This window comes from Homo sapiens, chromosome 10 (assembly GCF_000001405.40).
Source record: "Homo sapiens chromosome 10, GRCh38.p14 Primary Assembly".
NCBI lineage: Eukaryota > Metazoa > Chordata > Mammalia > Primates > Hominidae > Homo > Homo sapiens.
In genome coordinates this window covers 75290411-75314017 of record NC_000010.11, presented here as the reverse complement: position 1 = coordinate 75314017, position 23607 = coordinate 75290411, and the positions used below count along the sequence as shown (strand labels likewise).

The 23607-nt window shown below is 42.2% G+C and overlaps 1 protein-coding gene and 1 long non-coding RNA gene across 5 annotated transcripts in view, besides 2 other annotated features; one reads left to right on the top strand and one right to left on the bottom strand.

Annotated features, from left to right (window-relative positions):
* ZNF503-AS1 (ZNF503 antisense RNA 1) overlaps positions 1-17635 on the bottom strand; it is a 65296-nt gene extending 47661 nt beyond the window's left edge. For 3 of the 4 annotated variants that reach the window (NR_038223.1, NR_038225.1, NR_038224.1), the window contains exon 1: positions 17367-17635. This is a non-coding gene — a long non-coding RNA (ZNF503 antisense RNA 1). Of the gene's footprint in view, positions 1-14943; positions 15067-17366 lie in introns of all 4 variants that reach the window. The other variant, NR_038226.1, reaches the window with a different exon arrangement.
* The window catches only part of ZNF503 (zinc finger protein 503), a 122192-nt gene that overhangs the window by 87899 nt on the left and 10686 nt on the right, over positions 1-23607 (top strand). The window lies entirely within an intron of this gene.
* Positions 18755-18804: a silencer, noted in NCBI's record as "silent region_2515". NCBI's record gives its function as "represses an Ori minimal core promoter by ATAC-STARR-seq in GM12878 lymphoblastoid cells {active_cell/tissue: GM12878}" and the evidence as "EXISTENCE:reporter gene assay evidence [ECO:0000049][PMID:35858748]".
* Positions 18825-18934: a silencer, noted in NCBI's record as "silent region_2514". NCBI's record gives its function as "represses an Ori minimal core promoter by ATAC-STARR-seq in GM12878 lymphoblastoid cells {active_cell/tissue: GM12878}" and the evidence as "EXISTENCE:reporter gene assay evidence [ECO:0000049][PMID:35858748]".

Here is a 23607-nt window from a genome sequence, read left to right as displayed (position 1 = left end):
TCTTGCACTGTTGTGGTATCTTCACATTTGAAAAAGCCTCCACTCTACCGGCTGGCTTTGGGAGAGAAATGACTTCACTCATGTGTTTCCTCCACATCTCTTGTTCCCTCTTAGGAGTGGCAAAATTCTTAAGATTGTATGCTTTCTCTATATTTTGCAAAGCTAGCCAAGACTCTGAGGTTCTCTCTTTTGTTTTCCTTAGGTCAGTGCCCTGAAATGCTCAAGTTCATGTCCCTTCTCCCAATCCCACAGATTTGAGCTGGCTGTTTACATGAGATATTTGCACCTGCTGTCTGCAGGGGCATGCCCAGGAATCCAGGTTGGGGGAAGAGTTGCAGAGCATTTGGAGTGCCCACAAGCCCAGTGGGGACCACAGGCAAGGCATCCCAAGTGGGTTCATGTGGAAGCTTCTTGACAAGGTCCATAGTGTTTAGTGGAGTCCCCAGACTCTCCTTCCTATTCCTAGCCTCTGCCACCCACTTAGTTTTGCTGATCACCTCTGTATCCTGGGTTGTGCAAAAAAGAAGTGAGCAGCATCCTACATGGCTGTGGGAACCAAATGCTCACTCACTACACTCTCACTTTTCCCTACTGACAAAATCACAGGCCTATGGGGGTCTCTCTTGGGACTGAGCTGTGCTACCTTGTGGGAGGGGTGACATGAATCTAATACAACTGTTCTTCCTACCCTTCTGAATGAGTCTATTATTGGATTTGTTGCTCAGTGGTGTGTTGGAACGTGTCCATTGGATTTCTGAACTCCCACAAAGGTATTCTCATTGTGGATGGAGACAAATTGCAAAAAAACCCCTATTTTGCCATCTTGCTGACATCGCTCTACCTCCATGGTTTCTAATGAGAAACCAAGTGTATTAGTCTGTTCTCATGCTGCGAATAAAGACATACCCGAGGCTGGGTAATTTATAAAGGAAAGAGGTTTAATGGATTCACAGTTCCACATGGCTGGGGAGGCCTAACAATCATGGCAGAGGGCAAAGGAAGAGTAAAGTCACATCTTACATGGTGTCAGGCAAGAGCATATGTGCAGGGGAACTCCCATTTATAAAACCATCAGATTTCGCGAGACTTATTCACTATCACAAAAACAGTATGGGGAAACTCACTTAATTATCTCCACCTGGCCATACCCTTGACACATGGGTATTACTACAATTCAAGGTGAGATTTGAGTTGGGACACAGAGCCAAACCATATCACCAGCTACTATTCTAATTGTTTTCTCATATAGTTAAGGTGATGTTTTTTGTTTTTTTTTAATCTGTCTACTTTCAAGATTTTTTACATTTTCTTTAGTTTTCAGTAGTTTACTTATCATGTATCTTAACATGGATTTCTTTGGGTTTACCCTATTTGGATTTCACCCAGCTTCTTGAATTGTAGGTTTATGTCTTTCAACAAATAGTGATGGAAAGGTTTCCACCATTATTTCTTTTCAAACTTTTTTAGGCCCACTCTCTTTCTCCTTTCCTTACTGGATTCTGGTATCCTGAATGTTAGGTATTTTGTGATATACCTACATGTCCCTGAAGCTCTGCTCATTTTTGATTTTTTAGTCTATTTTATTTGTGTTGTTCAGATTGGGTAATCTCCATATTTCCATATTCTAGTTTGCTGATTCTTTTCTCTTGATTCCATTCCACTTTCCTTCAATCCCATCCACTTGACTTTTTATTTTAGTTATTGTATTTTTGTTATAATATTTTCATTTGTTTTTTCCTTTTATATCCTATTTCTTGACTGAGGCTTTCTAGTTTGTCATTTGTTTCAGGAATGTTTGTTTTGTTTTGTTTGAGACAGGTTCTCACTCTGTCACCCAGGCTAGAGTACAGTGGCGTGATCTCAGCTCACTGCAGCCTCCACCTTCTGGGTAGATGGGAGGCAGAGATGCTAAAATTATCTGACAGATTTGAAAGCAGCCATGATAAACATGCTTCCATAAGCAATTACAAACATTCCTGAAACAGGCTGGGCGTGGTGTAATCCCAGCTGTTTGGGAGGCTGAGGCAGGCGGACCACTTGAGGCCAGAAGTTTGAGAACAGCCTGGCCAATATGGCAAAACCCCACTTCTACTAAAAATACAAAAAAAAAAAATTAGCTGGGTGTGGTGGTGCACGCCTGTAGTCCCAGCTACTTGGGAGGCTGAAGCCTCTACTTCTATGGTTTCTGATGAGAAAACAACTGTATTAATCTGTTCTCACACTGCTAATAAAGACAAACCTGAGACTGGGTAATTTATAAAGGAAAGAGGTTTATAAAGGAGGCCTCAGCCTCCCAAGTAGCTGGGAGGTGTGCACCACCACTTCCGGCTTTTTTTTTTTTTTTTTTGGTATTTTTAGTAGAGATAGGGTTTCGGCATATGGGCCAGGCTGTTCTCAAACTCCTGGCCTCAAGTGGTCCACCTGCCTCAGCCTCCCAAACAGCTGGGATTACACTGTGCCCAGCCTGTTTCAGGAATGTTTGTAATTGCTTATGGAAGCATGTTTATCATGGCTGCTTTCAAATCTGTCAGATAATTTTAGCATCTCTGCCTCTTGGTGTGGATATTTATTGATTGTTGCAATGGTTAATATTGAGTGTCAATTTGATTGGATTGAAGGATGAAAAGTATTGTTCCCAGGTGTGTCTGTGAGGGTGTTGCCAAAGGAGATTAACATTTGAGTCAGTGGAGTGGGAAAGGCAGACCCACCCCCAAACTGGGTGGGCACAATCTAATCAGCTGCCAGCATGGCCAGAATAAAAGCAGGCAGAAGAATGTGGAAAAAGTAGACTGGTTTAGTCTTCTGGCCTACATCTTTCTCCCATGTTGGATGCTTCCTGCCCTCGAACATTGGAGTCCAAGTTCTTCAGCTTTGGGACTTGGAGTGGCTTCCTTGCTCCTTGGCTTGCAGATGGCCTATTGTGGGATCTCACCTTCTGATTGTGTGAGTCAATACTCCTTAATAAACTCCCCTTTATATATACATCTATCCTATTAGTTCTGTCCCTCTAGAGAACCCTGGCTAAAACAATTGTCTTTTTAAATTCAGTTTGACATCTTCCTAGTTTTTGAGAATACTTTTTAGTTTTTTTATTAAAACCTGAACATTTCATATTATGTTATGAGACTATGGGACTTTTTTAAACCTTCTGTTTTAACAGACTTTTTCTGACACTGCTCTGGTTGGGGGAGAGAGGAACACCATGTCATTATTGCTAGGTGCAGGTAGTAGTCTAGTTTCTCCACTCAGAATCCATGATACCTGAAGATGAGAGCTCCTCATTATTTACAGGCAGGGGTGGGACTTCCAGCTTCTCACATGGTCTCCACTAGACTGCAGGAAGGTACTGCATTACCAGCTGATGAAAATGAAAGTCCTTGCTCCTTACTTAGCATTTTCTGATATCATTCTGGTAGGGTTTTGGAGTACTTTATTACAGACTTCCAAGGATTAAATATAAGCTCCTCACTTAGCCTTTGCTACTGGGAGTGGAGCCCTATGTTTTCTGTGGTGTTTAGCTAGAGTAGAATGATTATTGTCTGAAAGTTTCCTATCTTGCTAGGCTACCCTTTTCCTGATCCTTTGACTGGAAAGAGTAGGCTTTTGTTGAGGTTTTATTTTGTTTTGTTTTTAGTCTACGCTCTTTGGCAATTCTGAGTTGCCAGCTTCTTTAGCTCCCAGCCTGGGATATATAAGACAAACGTAGAGAGCTCACCAGATCATTTCTCAGGTCCCAAACGTCCCTTGAGTCCATTGAGTGTCTTTCTTCTTTTATCCACCCTTCAGAGTTTTCTAATATTTGTTTATATATAATGACCATGGTTTTTAACTATACTTAGAGAAAAGTAAGCCTACTTCGTATTCCTCTAAGTGGAAGTTCTAGAATATAGATCTAAAGTACAAAATGCTCTTGATCTAATGGACATATTTTAGAGCACTGTATTCATAAATTTCAGAATTCATTTTCTTTTCAAGATGGACTATAAGACAACTCCCAGGAAATTTTAAAGTATAAAAATCATATGGAATGTGTCCTTTCACCATGATGGAATTAAGCTAAAAATCAGTAACAAAAAGATAACCAGTACCTTACCTAACACTATATACAAAAGTTAACTCGAAATGAATTAAAGACCTAGACAAAAGTTAAAACTATAAACTCTTAGAGGAAAAGATAGAACAAAAGCTTCATGACATTATATTTGGCAATTAGTTATTAGATATGACACCAAAGACATAGGCAACAAAATAAAAAATATAGTCATCTCTCAGAGATAATGCGAGTTCAGTTCCAGACCACCATGATAAAGTGAACATCACAGTAAAGCAAGACATTAATTTTCTGTTTCCCAGACATATAAAAGTTATATTCAAATTATACTGTAGTTTATTAAGTGTGCAATAGCATTATGTCTTAAAAACAATGTACATACCTTAACTTAAAAACACTTTATTGCTAAAAAATGTTAATGATCTTCTGAGCCTTCAATGAATCATCATCTTTTTGTTGGTGGAGGGTCTTGCCTCAATGTTGATGGCTGGTGACTGATCAAGGTAGTGGTTGTTGAAGGATGCAGTGGCTGTGGCAATTTCTTAAAATAAGATAATAATGAAGTTTGCTGCATCAATTGACTCTTCCATTCACAAAAGATTTATCTGTAGCATGTAATGCTGTTTGATAGCATTCACCCACAGTAAAACTTCTTACAGAGTTAGAGTCAATTCTCTCTAAACCTGCTGCTGATTTATCAACTAAGTTTACGAAATTTTCTGAATGCTTTGTTGTCATTTCAACAATGTTCACAGCATCTTCACTGAGAGTAGTTTCCATCTCAAGAAACCACTTCCTTTGCTCATCCATAAGAAGCAACTACTCAGCCAGGCATGGTGGCTCATGCCTGTAATCCCAACACTGAGCGGCTGAGGCAGGCGGATCACTTGAACTCAGGAGTTTGAGACCAGCCTAGGCAACATGGTGAAACAGCATCTCTACCAAAAATGCAAAAAAATTAGCCAGGTGTGGTGGCATGCACCTGTGGTCCCAGCTACTCAAGAGGCTGAGGTGGGAGGATCACTTGAGCCCAGGAAGCAGAGGTTGCAGTAAGCCAAGATCACACCACTGCACTCTGGCCTGGGTGACGGAGTGAGACCCCCATCTCAAAAAAGAAAAAGAAAGAAAGAAGCAACTACTTATCTTATCTGTTCAAGTTTTATGATGAGATTGCAGCAATTCAGTCATATGTTCGGGCTCCACTTCTAATTCTAGTTCTCTTGCTATTTCTACCACATCTGCAGTTACTTCCTCCACTGATGTCTTGACAACCTCAAAGTCATTTATGAGATCAGATGAGGGTTGAAATCAACTTCTTCCAAACTCCTGTTAATGCTGATATTTTTACCTCCTCCTATGAATCACAAATGCTCTTAATGGCATCTAGAATGATGAATCCTTGACAGAAGATTTTCACTTACTTTGCCCAGATCCATCAGAAAAATCACTATCTCTGGCAGCTATAGCATCTCAAAATGTATTTCTTGACTATTAAGACTTGAAAGTTGAAATTGCTCCTTAATTCATTGGCTAAAGAATGGTTGTTGTGTTAGCAGGTATGGAAATATTAGTCTCTTTGTACATCTCCATCAGAGTTCTTGAGTAACTAGGTGCATTGTCAATGGGCAGTGATATTTTAAAAGAAATCTTTTTTTCTGAGCAGTAGGTCTCAATAGTGGGCTTAAAATATTCAGTAAACTATGCTGTAAACAGATGTGCTGTCTTGCAATTTTTCCATATAATGAAAGTAAAGGCAAAAAAAAAAAAAAAAGATGTATTGTCACCCAGGATTTGTTTTTCCATTTAAAGAGCACAGGCAGAGTAGATTTAACATAAGTCATTTTTATCATTGCCTCTCTTCAGCATAGCATAACTCCTTTGTTTAAAGACAAGGGTCTTGCTATGTTGCCCACACTGGAGTGAAGTGGCATTATCATAGTTCACTGCAGCCCCTTAACTCCTAGGCTCAAGTGATCCTCCTGCCTCAGCCTCCCAAGTAGTTGGAACTACAGGCATGTGCCATCATATCTGGCTCATTTTTTTATTTTTTTGTAGAGATGGGGTCTTGCTATGTTTCCCAGGCTGGTCTTGAACTCCTGACCTCAAGTGATCCTCCCGCCTCGGCCTCCCAAAGTGCTGGGATTATAGGCATGGTCCCACCATGCCTGGCCTACCATAATTCTTAAGGGCCCTAGGATTTTCAGAAAGGTAAATGAATATTGGCTTCAATTTAAAGTCACCAGCTGCATTAGTCCCTAATGAGAGAGTCAGCCTGCCTTTCCTTTGAAGCTTTGAAGCCAGACGTTGACTTCTCTATCTATGAAAGTCCTAAATGACATCTTCTTCCATTAGAAGGCTGTTTCATCTATGTTGAAAATCTGTTGTTTAGTGTAACCACTTTCACCAATTGTCTTAGCTTGATCTTCTGAATAACTTGCTGCAATTTCTTGATCAGCACTTGCTGCTTCACCTTGCACTATTATGTTTTGGAGATGATGGCTTATTTCCTTAAACCTCATGAGCCAGCCTCTCCTGGCTTCCAACTTTTCTTCTGCAGCTTCCTTACCTCTCTCAACCTTCATAGAATGAAGAGAGTTAGAGCCTTGCTCTGGATTAGGCTTTGGCTTCAGGGAATGTCATGGCTTCTTTGATCTTCTACCCGACTAGTAAACTTTCTTCATATCAGCAATAAGGCTGTTTCACTTTCTTATAATTCATATGTTCACTAGGGTAGCACTTTTAATTTCCTTCAGGAACTTTTCTTTTGTATTTACAGCGTGGCTAACTATCTGGTGCAAGAGGCCTAGCTTTCAGCCTGTCTTGGCTTTTGATGTGGCTTCCTCACTAAGCTAAATCATTTCTAGCTTTTGATTTAAAGGGAGAAGTGTGCGGCTCTTTCTTTCACTTGGACATTTTGAAGCCAGTGAAATTTCAGGCCTAATATTGAAATTGGCCTAATTTGAATTGGCCTAATATTGAAATTGGCCTAATTTCAATATTATTGTGTCACAGGGAATAGGGAAGTCCAAGGAAAGGGAAAGAGATAGGGGAATGGCCAGTTGGTGGGGCAGTCAGAATGCACACAACATTCATCAGTTAAGTTCACCATCTTACAAGGGCGTGGTTCACGGTGCCTAAAACAATTACAATAATAACACCTAAGATCATTGATCACAGATCGCCATAACAGATACAATAAGAATGAAGAAGTTTGAAATACTGTAAGAATTACCAAATTGTGACACAGAGACACGAAGTGAGCACATGAACACATGCCATTGGAAACATGGTTCTGATAGGCTTGCTTGATGCAGGATTGCCAAAAATTTTCAATTTGTAAAAAACACAACACATTCAAAATACAATAAAACAAAGCGCAATAAAATGAGGTATGCCTATACACAAATTCAACATCATGAAAATTAAAAACTTCTATGCATCAGATGGCATCATCAACAAAGTAAAAAGATAGCCTATGGAATGGGAGAAAATATTTACAAGTCATATATCATATTAGAGATTTATATCCAGAATATGTAGAGAACTACTAAATTCAACAACAAAAATATCAGACAAACCAATTCAAAAATGAACAGAGGACTTGAATAGACATTTTTCCCAAAAAAAAGATATATAAATAGTCAATAAGTATATGAAATGACACTCAACATCACTAATCACTAGGGAAATGCAAATCAAAAGCACAATGAGATACTACCCTCACACCCATTAGGGTGACTGTTATTTTTTAAAATCCAGAAAATTAAAAATTGTTGGCAAGGATGTGGAGAAATTGAAACCCTTGTGCACTGTTGGTGAAAATTAAAATGGTAGGGCCACTATGGAAAACATTAAGGCAGTTTCTCAAAAAATTAAAAATAGAATTACCACATGACCTAGCAATTCTTCTGCATGTATGCACCAAAGAAATAGAAGGAGGATCTTGAAGAGATATCTGTACACCCATATTAATAGCAACATTATTCACAACAGCTAAAACATGGAAGCAATCCAACTGTCCACTTAACCACTTATGATGAATAAATTAACAAACAACATGTGGTATACCCATACAGTGGAATATTATTCAGCCTTAAAAAGGAAGACAATTCTGACACATGCTACAACATGGATGAACTTTGAATATGTTATGCTAACAGAAATAAACCATGAATAGACACAAAAAGTCACAAAATGATAAATATTGTATGATTCCACCTCTATGAGGTACCTAGAGTAGTCAGATTCATAGAGACAGAGAGGAGAAAGGTGGTTGTCAACAGCTGGGGAGACTGGAAAGTTACTGTTTAAAGGTTATAGTTTCAGATTTGTAAGGTTAAAAGAATTTTGAAGATGGATGGAGGTAATGGCTGTATAACAATATGAATACTTAACATTACTTAACTGTATACTACTTAAAATGGTTAAGATGGTAAATTTAATGTTATTTATATTTTACCAAAACAAAAAAACTTGTATTAACAAAAGATAAATAGTTAATCCTCAAATATCTAGAAATTAATTATATACTTTAAAATAAAAGTAGAAAACATAATGTGATCATGTGATCTCTACCAGTATGTTACACTTCTTATTTGACAACATGTATAAAGACATTTTTTAGTGAAATGGTGCTTTATACAGTAGAGGCCTTCTTATTCCATACAACTTGGATTTGAATTTGGTTGATTTATCAAAAAAGTCTGTTAATTTGTTACAGAACAGGGAAGGAGACTTTTTGGTTTTACATGAATAGTCTATGAAAAAATAAATAAGAAACTGACATCATTCGCTACCTTTAGGGAAAGGAATGAGGAAGATGCCTACTCAGAATGATAAAATTTATAATAATATTTTGATAGTGATAGCAACCGGATAATATTTATGATAATATTTTTAAATATTTAAAGTAAGTTAAAGCAGTGTAATCTTACACATTTTCAGTTAAAGTATACAATTATGCATTTATCTAGCCATCTTTTCATCTAAGCCTAAGACCTTTTTTCCCCTCATAGTTCCACTGTTTGGATTTCTACATAGCTTTTCCTACAGAAAAACTAAACCTTTAATGAGTCATCTGTGAGTTCTAGTTTTGTATTCTTTAAGGCATAGTGAGAATTTAGAAATAATCTTTATGCAGAATCCTTTACATATGGAAATTCCTTCTGGATATTTGTGATTTTTTTCTCCAATCTTTTCTAGTTTTCATGGCACTCTAAATTCAAAATAGTATTTTTGCTACTTGTCTTTATTGAGGCTTTCTAAAACATTTATCTAGTTAACATAGAAAATATTTATTTCTGGGTATAGTTAAATTTTATTATTTACATGATCTTTAAACAAATTATTAAAATGACAAGTACAATTGACATAAGCAGGTTTAGGAACATACACAACTGATTTGTAGTAGCATCCAGCCCAACTGGTGGACATATTGAGAGTAGTAAACCAGTCACGAGTGTTTATTGTACTAAAGGCATGACTCCATATGTTTTACAGAGAGAATGAAGAAATATTTAAAAGGAGGTCAATTAACAGAGCTTCTACTGTACATTTGGAGATCATGATATTTTCACTAATAACCAAGTTTACTAAATGAGAGTCTCACTGGGCCTGCTTTAATGAATAATGATACACATTAGTAACTAGCAAGATTAATTTGAAGAAAATGTTAGAGGCTTTAGACAAAGTAAGGTATTTTAAATAGTTTAAATGTATTCTCTGCAGTCTTGTTTATGCTGTTCACCTGATAAACAAAGACCAAAAAAAACAAACCAGAGACCAAAAAGAACAACCAAACCTGTCTATAAAGATTTAGTCAGGTTGCTTTGGCCAAAAGGCGTGGTGGCTCACGCCTGTAATCCCAGCACTTCGGGAGGCCAAGGCAGGCAGATCACTTGAGACCAGGAGTTCGAGACCAGCCTGGCCAACATGGTGAAACCCCATCTCTACTAAAAATACAAAAATTAGCCAGGTGTGGTGGCATGCACCTGTAATCCCAGCTACTCAGGAGGCTGAGGCAGGAGAATTGGTTGAACCCAGGAGGCAGAGGCTGCAGTGAACTGAGATTGTACCACTGCACTCCAGCCTGGGTGACAGAGCAAGACCCTGTCTCAAAAAAAAAAAAAAAAAAAAGATTTAGCCACTGTCATCCAGCATAGCGAAAGGATCCTTGGCCTTCAGTAGGCTGTAAGGGAGGGTAAGGGCCAGTTGTGCCTTGCTTACCGTAACATTCTCACCCTCTAGCACACCATCTGACACAAGTGGGTGATCAAATACTGCTTAAATGCATGCATGGATAAATAAGTGAATGACTGCTTGCAGAAAAGTGTAGAACCTATATTCAACACTAGAGTGTCTACTCACTCCAGACAGACACAAGTGTGAATTAAGAAAGAATCAGGAGCAGGGCCAGGACAGGGCAAGAGTGAGGCAAGAGCAGTTCAGCCTGGACAGGCCCACTCTGCTTGCCTTATCCTGGCTTTACATGGTACAACGTGGATCCAACAGCCTTGCTATCCACTATCCCAATCCTCCCTGAAGCAGACCCTCACCCAATCCTTATTTACATCACTAAAGTTGCCCAGAACCACTTTCCAACTATATGTGGGATCAGTTAGACTGGGGCAGAAACCACAATAAACAAATTGTGACATACACCTGGCCCTGGACTCATGCAGTTGTTTCTCTCACCTGAAGTTCTCCCCTAGCCTTCCCACCTCTTTCAAGGCAGAGCCAAGCAGCCACCTATGAAATGGCTTGGAGGAGGGGCATTGCCCAAGCCTGTTTAGACCAGTCAGATTCTTTCTATTGGAAATTTGAACTGAAAATATGGAGGACAGAGGTGTTTAGTAAGTAACAGAACTAGAAGCTCTGAAAATATACCAAGGGCCTTCTGACTTCTCACATAATGGAGTTTGGAGGTCTACAAAACCTCTCCCCAGAAAGCAAGGACGAAGCTGAACAAAATTGTCAAAAACCACTTCAACACTCTAGAATTCTACCAAAGGGATACAAAAACTGAGAAATATTTTTAATGAAGACTACTAAACTTTAGGTAAGAACAATATGAGTCTATAACTGCCCACACCCCATGTCCCTAACCCCAGCTCCTTCCAGCACCATGACAACCAGCAGCTTTGCCACTGATAATGGAAAGGACACACTTGGTTTAGAGTACTGTCAGATAAGTGATCTCAATGGCAAGCAAACAGGAAGGACCAGTGGCTCCATCAATCTGAGGTTGCAGTTCTGTTTCAGCTAAGCAAAGGACTGATGGACTAGAGGGGATTTATCAGGAAGTTTTAAAAGGTAAAATTTAAGCCACAGGAGATTCCTCACATATCCTGGGTTAGCCAGAGGCTGTGTGTATGTATACTAGACACCAAAGAGGACCAAAGGTACCTACACATCCCTGGCTGACAGAGCCTGTGCACATGTGCAGAGGAGATGTAAAGAAATATTAAGGGTACCCACATATCTGTAATTAGCATTCTAGAAGAAGAGTAGAGAGAATGGGGCAGAAAAAGTATTTGAAGATAAAATGGCCAAAATCTTCCCAAATATAACTTTACACATCTAAGAAGCTCAATAAACCCCAAGTAGGATATATAAAAAGAGATCTACACCTAGATCCACAGAGTAAAACTGTTGAAAGCCTAAGACAAAGAAAAACCCTTGAAAGCAGAAAGAGAAAAACAAATCACATGTATGGAAGAACAACAATACAATGGACAGCTAACTTCTCATCAGAAACAACGGAGGCCAGAGACAATGGAATGACATATTTAAAGTGCTACATGAAAAGAAAAATGTTCAACTAAAAATTCCATATACAGCTAAAATAATCCTTCAACATGGAAGGGAAATAAAGTTGTTCACAGATAAACAAAGACTGAGATTATATGTTGCTAGCATGTCTGCCTTACAAGAAATACTAAGTAAAGTCCTTTAGGCTAAACAGAAATGACCCCACATGGTAACTCTACAAAAAGAAACAAAGAGTGCCAGAAATGATATATATGTTAGTAAATATAAAAGACTCTTTGTGTATATTTTTTCTTACTTCTTCTCTTAGCTTCTTTTTAAAATGCAAGATTGCAATAAAAAATAATTATAACATTGTATTATTAGGTTTATAACATATTTCGATGTAATATAAATGACAACAGTATAGAGCAGAAGGGAAGAAAAGGAGATGTATTGGAGCAAAGTTTCTATATTTCACCAGAATTAAAGTAGCATTTTTCTGAAATAGATCATGATAAATTAAATGCAATTGTAATCATCAGAGCAACCACTGAGAAAATAAAATGAAGATAGTTTAAATTGTTATTTTTTAACTAAAAATATGATTATTCAACAAAAAATCAGGCAGTAAAAGAGAAATAAAAAAGACAATAAGCAAATACAAAACAAATAGAAATGGCCGGGCATGGTGGCTCACGCCTGTAACCCCAGCACTTTGGGAGGCCAAGGTGGGTGGATTGCCTGAGCTCAGGAGTCTGAGACCAACCTGGGTAACATGGTGAAACCCCATCTCTACTAAAATACAAAAAATTAGCTGGGTGTGGTGGCACATGCCTGTAGTCCCAACTACTCAGGAGGCTGAGGCATGAGAATTGCTTCAACCCAGGAGGCAGAGGTTGCAGTGAGCCAAGATCACACCACTGCACTCCATCCTGGGCAACAGAGCAAGACTGTCTCAAAAAAAAGAAAAGAAAAATGGCAGGTGTTAACCCAGCCATATCATTAATCACATTAAAAGGGAATAGACTAAAATATCCATTCAAAAGGCAGAGATTGTCAGACTGGATGAAAAAGCAAGATCCAACCAAATGCTGTCAACAAGAGACACAAAAATAGGAAGAGATATCCCAAGCAAACAGTAACCATAAGAGAGCTAGAGTGGCTATATTAGTATCAGACAAAATAGATTTTAATGTAAGAAATGTTATTAGAGAGGCCAGGTGTGGTGGCTCCCACCTGTAATCCCAGCACTTTGGGAGACCCAGGGGGGTGGATCATGAGGTCAGGAGTTCCAGACCAGCCTGGCCAACATAGTGAAACCCCATCTCTACTAAAAATACAAAAATTAGCAGAGAGTAGTGGCACACGTCTGTAGTCCCAGCTACTCGGGAGGCTGAGGCAGGAGAATCACTTGAACCCGGAAGGCAGAGGTTGCAGTGAACCGAGACCGCACCATCGCACTCCAGCCTGGGTGACAGAGTGAGACTCTGTCTCAAAAAAAAAAAAAAAAAAAGAAAGAAAGAAAGAAATGTTATTAGATGTTGCGGGAAGTCAGGGACCCCGAACGGAGGGACTGGCTGAAGCCATGGCAGAAGAATGTGGATTGTGAAGATTTCATGGACATTTATTAGTTCCCCAAATTAATACTTTTATAATTTCTTATGCCTGTCTTTACTGCAATCTCTAAACGTAAACTGTGAAGATTTCATGGATATTTACCACTTCCCCAATCAATACCCTTGTGATTTCCTATGCCTGTCTTTACTTTAATCCCTTAATCCCGTCATTTTCGTAAACTGAGGAGGATGTATGTCGCCTCAGGACCCTGTGATGATTGCGTTAACTGCACAAATTGTAGAGCATGTGTGTTTGAACAATATGAAATCTGGGCACCTTGAAAAAAGAACAGGATAACAGCAATTGTTCAGGGAATAAGAGAGATAACCTTAAACTCTGACCGCCGGTGAGCCAGGCGGAACACAGCCATATTTCTCTTCTTTCAAAAGCAAATGGGAGAAATATCGCTGAATTCTTTTTCTCAGCAAGGAACATTCCTGAGAAAGAGAATGTGCCCCTGAGGGTGGGCCTCTAAAATGGCCCCCTTGGGTGTGCCAGTCTTCTATGGTTGAGACTGTAGGGATGAAATAAGCCCCAGTCTCCCATAGCGCTCCCAGGCTTATCAGGATGAGGAAATTCCTGCCTAATAAATTTTGGTCAGACCAGTTGCTCTCAAACCCTGTCTCTTGATAAGATGTTATCAATGACAATGGTGCCCAAAACTTCATTAGCAATTTTAATTTCAACCTGGTCCTGTGGTCCTGTGATCTTGCCCTGCCTCTATTTGCCTTGTGATATTCTATTACCTTGTGAAGCATGTGATCTCTGTGACCCACACCCTATTCACACACTCCCTCCCCTGTTGAAAATCACTAATAAAAACTTGCTGGTTTCACGGCTCGGCAGGCATCACCGAACCTACCGACATGTGATGTCTCCCCCAGATGCCCAGCTTTAAAATTTCTCTCTTTTGTACTCTGTCCCTTTATTTCTCAAACTGGCCAGCGCTTAGGGAAAATAGAAAAGAACCTACGTGAAATATTGGGGGTGAATTTTGCCCGATATCTGGCTGAATTTCCCCCGATAATTAGAGACAAAGGATGTTTTATAATGATAAAATTGTAAATACATTAGGAAATACCAATTATAAATATATATGCACTGAACAACAGAACCCCTAAATACGTAAAACAAAAACTCATGAAATTGAAAGGAGAAATAGATAATTCGACAGTAATACTCAGAAAGTTCAATAGCTCACTCAGTAAATGCAGAAAAAACACCTGACAAAATCCCATGCAAATTCATGATTTAAAAAACGTTATGGGGGACAACTGGATATCCATATGCAAAAAAATAAACTTAAACTCTTACCTCATACCATACACAGAAATTAACTTCAAATAGATCACATTCAAAAAGTTAAACAAGGCTGAGCATGGTGACTCACAACTGTAATCCCAGCACTTTGGGAGGCCGAGGCGGGTGGATCAACTGAGGTCAGGAGTTCGAGACCAGCCTGACCAACATGGTGAAACCTCATGTCTACTAAAAACACAAAATTAGTTGGGCATGGTGGCACATACCTGTAATCCCACCTACTTGGGAGCCTGAGACAGGAGAATCACTTGAACCCGGGAGGTGGAGGTTGCAGTGAGCCTAGATCACACCATTGCACTCCAGCCTGGGCAACAAGAGTGAAACCTTGTCTAAAAAAAAAAAAAAAAGTTAAACATACACCAAGCATGGTAGGTCATGCCTGCAATCCCAGCACTCTGGGAAGCCAAGGCAGGTGGATTGCTTGAGTCCAGGAGTTCAAGACCAGCCTGGGCAACAAGGTGAAACCCCATCTCTGTTTATTTAATAAAAAATAAAACATTTTTTAATTTATATTAAAAAATTTTAAGTTAAACCTAGTCAGCGCATGACCCAGCAATCCCACTCCTACATATATACCCAAAAGAACTGAAAACATGGCCACATAAAAACTTGTACATAAATGTTCATAACAGCATTATTCATCATAAGAGCCAAAAGTAGAAACAATCCAAATGTCTATCAGTATAGGAATGGATGAACAAAATATTGTGAATCTATACAATGGAATATTATTTGGCCATAAAAAGGAATGAAGTTCTCATACATACTACAACATGGATGAATCTTGAAAACATTATACTGAGTGAAAGAAGCCAGGCGTTAAAGGCCACATATTATATGACTCTATTCATGTGGAATGTCTAGAATAGGCAAATCCATAGAGACAGAAAGGAGAGTAGTGATTTCCAGGACTAAAGGGAGGGAAAAGTGGGGAGTGACTATGAATAGATATGGGGTTTCTTTTTGGTGATTAAAATGTTCTCGAATTAAATAGGGGTGATATTTGTACAGCTTTGTAAATATATTAGAAACACATAATTTTACCTTCTAAAGTGTAGGCTTTACAGTATGTGAATTATATCTTAGTAAAATTATTTTTAAAAAATGGATCCCAGACCTAAACGTAAAACCTGGTAGTCTGGGGCTGGGGTTGGGGCTGGAACTGAGTACTGACTGAAAATTGACTCAGGAGGATTCTTTGGGATGATGGAAATGTTCTAAAACTGGATTGTGATCATGGTTGCTCTTTATAAACTTACTAAAAAATCATTGGATTGTTCATTTATAATGGATGATTTTACGGTATGTAGGTTTCACCTAAATAAAGCTGTTTATAAAATGAATCCAGTGAAAACAGAAATCAAAACATCACATGGTAAACAGTTGGGGAGAAGCTGGGATGAGAATGTATCTTAAAAATGAAATAAAGGAGGATAGGAGGTACTGGGGTAATGAATGTTATGTTTCTTCACCTCTTTATGGGTTGTAGTTTGTGAAAATTCATTGAGCTGTACTTTTGTGATATATGCACTTTTATGTATGTATTTCATATCACAATAAAAAGTTTCTTAAATGACATGGGCCTAGGAAGGGCCATGAATGAGCCAATTAACGAGTTACAGAAGCTGTGAAGCTCAGCTGTGCAGCTGCTCTTGGGTCTCTGTGAGATTTTCTGCCTTCCTTATTGCCACCATTTTACAGTAATACCCATTTCTAGAGCTAGCCTGAGCAAGTTTCTGTTTCTTACTATAAAAGAGCCTCATTAATACATCCACAAATACAGCTACTGAAATGAATGAAATCCACAAATACACCTCCAGAAGGGCAGGGGATTTTGTATATTGCTAAATCCCCAGTGTCTAGAACAATATCTGTCACACAGTAAGGTCTTAATGTACATTTCTTGAATGAGTAAACGAATGAGCAGAGGAATAGCTGTAGAGGAAGGAAGGTGTAGAGCAAGAGACTTGTAAACACAGACATTTTTCAATGCAGCCTAGCTAGAGTCGGGGGTGGGGGTCAGAGGATGAATAATGCCTCCTGGGAATGTCAGGAAAATGTCACAGAGGAGGAGATCTGAGAGCTGAGTCTTGAAGGATGAGTAGGAGTTTGCCAGGGAAAGAATACAGGAGAGTAGGATAGACAGAAATAAACACAGATAAAATCACACTGTTCTGAAAGAGGCTGGCACTCTTGGGGATCCTAAGAAGGCTCATGTGGCAGAAGGGCAAGGTCACAGTTGAGGACAAGTGAGAGATAAGGCTGGAGAGAGAAACTGGGGGTAGATGGAGAGGCTCACCTATTCCCAGCCAAGACACTGCAACTGACTCCCGTAGGAATCACAGCCAGGAGAGAATTTTTAGCAGGGGTCAAAATGGCTTTTTAGGAAGCTCACTTTGGCTGAGGCAAGAAGAGTTTCTCCTCTGAGTTCATGGGCCATCTCCTCTGTTGGTACCTACACGTCCTCTCCTGTATGTCTCTCTCTTTCTCTGCATTCTCTTCTCTCTCTCTCCCTCCCCCTGCCCCATGTTTTCATATCTAGATATCTCTTTTCTGCCTGTGGATTTCTTTCCATTTTTCTCTCAAGACATCACTCCTTGAAAATGTCCCTCAACCCCTTCCAGCTTACTTGTGCCCAAACAGCTTCGATTCCATCTTCAGGACTCATTCATCTCCACCAGGCTGGAGTCCTTCATAAAGAAGTAACACAAGATTTCCTCTTGAACAACAAGCTCTTCCGGGCTTCACCAGTTACAGATGAGAAGCCTGGAGGAAGGGGGGGTGTCTGAGCCACCCTCTACTTGGCCCAGAAAGAGTGGGCCACCACCCTCCAAGACCTGCATGGATCCAATGAAGCAAAAACACCATGCTCTCCTCTCAGACATCCTGATGCCACTCACAACGTGAAAGGGGCCAATGGCTCAGAAGCCACTGCCCTTCCGGTCTCCTCCAGCAAATCCTAATACCCAGTTCTCATGCCGATGACCTTCCGCTCTGAAATGCTTCCTGGCATCCACCCATCCTCCCAGGGGCTGGACAACTAGGTCAGGGAGAAAACAGCCCCTCTACCATGCTGAGACAGGGACCCCTCTCCAGGACAATTCTCTTCCCTGAGACAAGAGGGTCAAACAGCTCTCCTAGACATGACCTCAGAGATGTGCAGCCAGGGCCCTGGCCCAATTTATTACCACGGGGCTATAATTAGGTTTGTTAACATACAGTCGAGTGTAGTCTTGTTGACTAGGAACTTAATCACGTTACTATTGAGTTCCTGTACGTATTGCTCGGGGTGACTGTTTTACTTGTAGAGTTATAGCCAAGCCCAACGGGAGGAAATTAGCTTTGGACACAAGTTTGGAGGGGGGTTCTTTTTCCTCCTGACTTTGTCTCTCTCTCTCCCCCCTTCCATGTGAAAATATTTAGCAAACAGTGACAATGATGAAAAACAGTAGGAAACAAAATGTTCTACATTAGTATAAAACATGAAAAATGCAGAAGGACCCTTAGCGGTACAACATGTGTTATGCTGGCTGGCAGTCCATTAGCTCTGATAGACATTTCACTTACCTAAGTCAAATATAACAGTCGAGTATTCATTAATATAAGAAGGGGCTGTGGAATCAGAGCTACCATCTGGCTGGGCCGACAGAATAATCTACAACTCATGATTAGGTCTAAGGAGTGGGGTTTCACTTTAATCTTTCTCATTGCTCGAAATTTCCATCTGCGCAGTTCGGCACATCATTTTTCTTCAAGACAAATGTGCTGTTTTTCATGTTCCAAAATTAGATCAGAAGAAAACGATTAATCATGTCACGGCCTGGGAAAGGAAACAAAGCTCCGATACTCTCCTGCTCTCGCTCCCAGCTCCCGCCCCTCCCTGGCCCTGGACGGTTGCAAGTTTCGCTTTTCCCCCCCTCAACCTCTGGGTCTGCGGCACAACTTTGGGAGAGGCCGCCGCCCGCCAGGAGGAGGAGGGCGGGACTGCAGGGAGAGGTGTGAGGGCGCCCCGGGGCCCATGAGGGGGCGCGCCCCTGCCTCCTCCTGCCACCCCTCCCGGGGGTCGCCCAGGCGGGCCCGCCCCGCGCCGTGCCGCCTGCCCCCCGAGTCGGAGTCGCGGGCCCGGCGTGACAGGAAGGGCCCGGAGCCCGCCTCCCGCGCGTCCCCTCCCGGCCGCCGCAGCCCTGTCTGTCAGGCGGCTCGCAAGTCATAACAAATCCCTGGCGCGGGGCTGAAGCTGAGCATTTGCCGGAGCGTCATGGGGATGATGAATGACCCGTAGGCCTTTGAAGTGCTCTGCCAGTTCAGCTGGGTCCGCGGTGCTGACAGAGAAATATACACAACAGCGTAACCAATAATGAGAACATTAAACATTCCTGCGCCGTGACAGGCTGACAGAAAAACCCGGGCCCGCATCAATCATCGCGCAGATAGAACCCTGACAGGCGGCCCCTCGCTGACACCCCCTCCGCGCGCCCTCCCGGGCCTCCCCCTCTTCCTCTCCGGGGTCTCCCTTCTTTCTCTCCGGGCTCCCCGCCGCCCCTCCTCTCCTTCCCCACCCCTCCTCTCTCTTCCTTCCCCGCTCCGCTCAGTGTCCTCCCCCTCCGCCCTGTCCCCTGCCCCTGCCCTTGGGCGACTGCCTTCAGGGCCTCTCAGAGGTCAAGTGAGGTCTGGGCCACGTCCGTTCTGTGAGGCTGCCCGTGCCTGAACAGTGAAGAGATGCCACCCCAGAGTGAGAAGACTGCAGTCTTTGAAATTCAGCGTTAATAATTTGTGACTTTTCACCCATGCAAAAAAATAATAATAATACAATCATTTACATGAAACCTCATGTGGAACTAGGATCGAAAGCCCAACGCCAGGCCCTTAGGGAAAGGGAGCTCCAGGGGAACCCCGTCCGCCCTCTTCTTTGGGCGAGGGTCTTTTGGAGTATCTTCCTGTGTGACTTTGGCAAGGGATCCTTTTCTTTGTGCCAGCCCTGGCCTCAGCCCCTTTCTTTCAGCTGGATTTATCTGACTGAGATCTGATGTCTGGTCTGTCTGAAAGGGAAAAAACAGAGGAGAAACACAAAGATCTCCTCCTTTTCCTCCACCAGGAAATGAGATCTGCCCAGATAAGGCATGTGGGATGGACTCTCACCCACTTCCCAAAGGAGACGCTGGTAACCTCTTAGCTCCTCCCCGGAGCCTCCAAATCCTCTCTGGACTTGGTTTGGGCTGTGTTTTTTAGGATTGAGCCTCTACTGCGTCCTTGTGAAGGTGGGGCATTCCCCCACTCCTGTCACATACAGACCACCCCTGCCAGGCCCACTCCCCACTGTCCCTGAGGGCTCAGAGAAGAGCCCTGGGCTGGCAGTAAAAGCCAGGGTTCTAGTCGCAGCCATGAGAATTTGGGCAAGTCCAGGACTTTCCTGGACCACAGCATGACAACAGAAGTCTCCACCTTAGGATGCTTACAGATCTCTTTACATTCTCCAAATGCAAAGGGTTATTTTTCCCTCCTTTTATTCTTGGAGATTTTTTTTTTCCATTCTTGGCTTTTGAGGAGAGAAGAAACTCCTTGACTTTCCAAAACATCATGAAAAACTCCCCATAACCTACACACACACACATGCGCACACACACATACACACACGCACACACACAGATGGTGAGTGGACGGGGGGGGCACTCTGGTAATCCCAGGACAGAGGGTGTTATGAGAAGTCAAACAGAAGCCTCAGGAAGACCAGTGCTTATGCTCTGAGGAAAAGCTCCCTAATGGACAGGACTCTTCAAATCCATTTGCATATTTGTTCAGCAGGGCCAGCTCAGGTGTGAAGAAAAGAGCATCTGCTGAGGCAACGTCTCCTCCTCATGGCACAGGGTCATGTCCCTTCCTTCCTGCCTACCTGGAAAGGCCAGCTGCACTCCCACTGGCTCCAGGCAACTTGTTCCACCTGTCCTGGCCCACAATGACCTTGCCCTCCTCTGATGTCCTATGACCCCTGGCCCAGATGAGCCTCTCACCTGCTCAGCTAGACTTGAAGCTACTTGAGGGCAGGATGGTGCCATGCTTTGCTGTTCTCTGGGTCACCTGGGACGAGCAAGATATCTTGTTCTGAAATGCCTGCCCCACACACAGCCCCCTTCTCCAACGAACTGCCCCTACAGGCCAGCTAAAGGGGAAGAAGACCTCGGAAGCCGTGTTTATACTACAAATCCCTAACCCTTGCCACAACTGATGGGTCCAGTATTTAACACCTATCCCTGCAACCCATCGGATTCTCTCTTCCTTGAACATCTGAACTCAGCCACAGGTGGTGTGGAGCTCTCGAAAGTCACATAGGGCTCGGGGCTGGGGCAGCCATTTTGAGCCATGTACATACATGCTGAGGAAGAAAAAAATACCAAAGCCAATGTTCACAAGGAAACAGAAGAACGAGGAGGTAGGCAAAAAGAAGCAGACACGAGATCCCAGGGAGACCACAAGAAGACAGCTTAGCTTCTGTTTCTCCTCCTAAACTGCTGGACTTGCCTGTTCCCTGAGGTCTAGGTATCCTGTTTCTTGCCCTTAGGTGCCTGTGGAATCACTGGCCACTGGGAAAAACATATGACCCAGGCCTGGCCAATCATTCTATCCCATCTTCCTGCTAGTAATGATTGGCCCGGGAATAGGCATGTGAACCATGTCGGACCAATCAGGGTCCTTCTCTGGGATTTTTGTATATTGATTCCAAAAGAGATATGCTCTTCAATCCTTTTGAATTGAGTATAGTAAGGCTAGGACCCCAGAGCTTCTAGCAGCATGGCAGCTTCTATCTGGAAGAAGCCAATGTATCGCAGGAGCAAATGACGACAAATCCCATGCCTTTTTCCAGTCCATAGAGTTAGTCAAGCCTGAAGCCCACTCCATGCTTGGCCTTCCCAACAAGTGAGTCAATGCATTCTCTTTCTTGCTTACTCTAAGTTTAGTTTGTTTTCTGTCTCTTGCAATGAAAGAGAGCCCTCAGACTTGTGTTCAGGGAACATGTCAATTTAGGAGGATTCACCTAAAATAAATACATGATTCTACCCTCTTTTTATGTATATGTACATGAGTAAGAACCCACTGAGGCAGAGAACAAGGAGGGCTGTGATGGCCTTTTCTGATCCTCTCCTCCCCCATGGTCCCCTCTGTGACCTCACCCCTCATGCCAGGGAGTCAGTCTGAATAGTCTGCATGGATCTAGCTATTTCCAGGCCAGGGCCAAACCACTTGAGCTTCTGAGCCTGTCAGTAATGGTACTTCCCTATCCGTGTGGTTTGTGCCCATCCCCAAGCAAGACAGGAACAGGTACTGGGTACTGCAAGTGTCTGGCAGTCCTCACAGCCTCTGAATGAAGCTGTTTGTCTTGTCCCCACTGCCATCCAGCAGAAAGCCAGAGCTGCAGCTGACCCCTCCTCTACCTTGGACATGACCACAGGTCCCAATCTTCAGACACATTTTAATCTCAGAAGTCCTCCAGGGCCAAAAATTGACCTCTGGATGTTCATCCTTATCCTAGTCCTGGTGTGATGACAAGATTCCTGGACCAATGGGAGAGACCACAGCAGCAGCAGTTACAGTGAAAAATGACTGGAGGGTTTCAGCTGACTACAAGTTTAAGATGAGCTAGCCTTGTGTGATAAGGTTTTTTGGGGATTTTTTTTGAGACAGAGTCTCACTGTGTTGCCCAGGCTGGAATGTGGTGGTGCAGTCACAGCTCACTGCAGCCTCGAACCCCTGGGCTCAAGCAATCCTCCCCCTCAGCCTCCCAAGTAGCTGGGACTACAGGCATAAATCACCATGCCTGGCTAATTTTTCTGTTTTTAGTAGAGATGGGGTTTCACCATGTTGGCCAGGCTAGTCTTGAACTCCTGGCCTCAAGAGATGCTCCTGCCTCAGCCTCCCAAACTGCTGGAATTACAGGCTTGAGCCACCACACCCAGCCATGATGTGGCTTCTTTAAAAAATAAAATTAAAAAGATGAGCTAGGTTAGACTAGAGCATCATGTCCAAATGATGTTTTAGGAATTCTGAGAAACTGTAACACAGGCAAAGGTGATGAGCAGTCAGGAAATTCAGTCTTTGAGGAAAAGAAGAAAGACTTCAGGATGGCAAAGTGACATCTCCCTCAACACTGAGAGGCCTGACACATGCTTTTTCTCCATGAAATGGCTGTGAAACCCCCAGGCACAGGCTGGCACATGGTTAGCACTAAAGAGCGGACATTTCCTTCTAGCTTATCTGGTCCTCATTCATCAGAGGCAAAATCAGAGACAATGAAAGGGCCTTACAGGGAAGCAGTTTTTATCACAATCTAAGAACTTTTTGACAATCTCAACCATGCAACAATTGAAATGGTCCCTTTGTAAGGTAATGCTCTCCCCATCACTACAGATATTCAAGCAGAGGCTGGATGATTAGCTCCCACAAATGCTATAGAAGGAATCTCTAAATTGAATGGATGTTGGGCTTTCAGGGCTCTTTTTCAGTTCAACGACTTTGGCAGCCTCAGTTTCTCACTCTGTGAAGTGCATTTGAGACAACTCCTCTCATCTTCCTAAGTTTATGGATGTGGTAGATGGATTTTCCAAAGATGTAGTTGGTTGTGTTTTCAAAAATGGCTGCAGCAGTATCTCTCATTCCACATGCTCTTCTTAGAACATAACCTTGCCTCTCTCCATGAAGAGAAGGAGGCTAATTCCCATCCTGTTCCATCTGAGCCTACTTGTGACTGCTTCCACCAATAAAATGTGGCAGAAGTGACACTAAGTGATTTCCAAGATCATAGAGAGACCATGCAGCTTGTGGTAGCTCTCCAGCAATGCTGGTTCCTAGAATCCAGCTGCCATGGTGTGAGGAAGCCC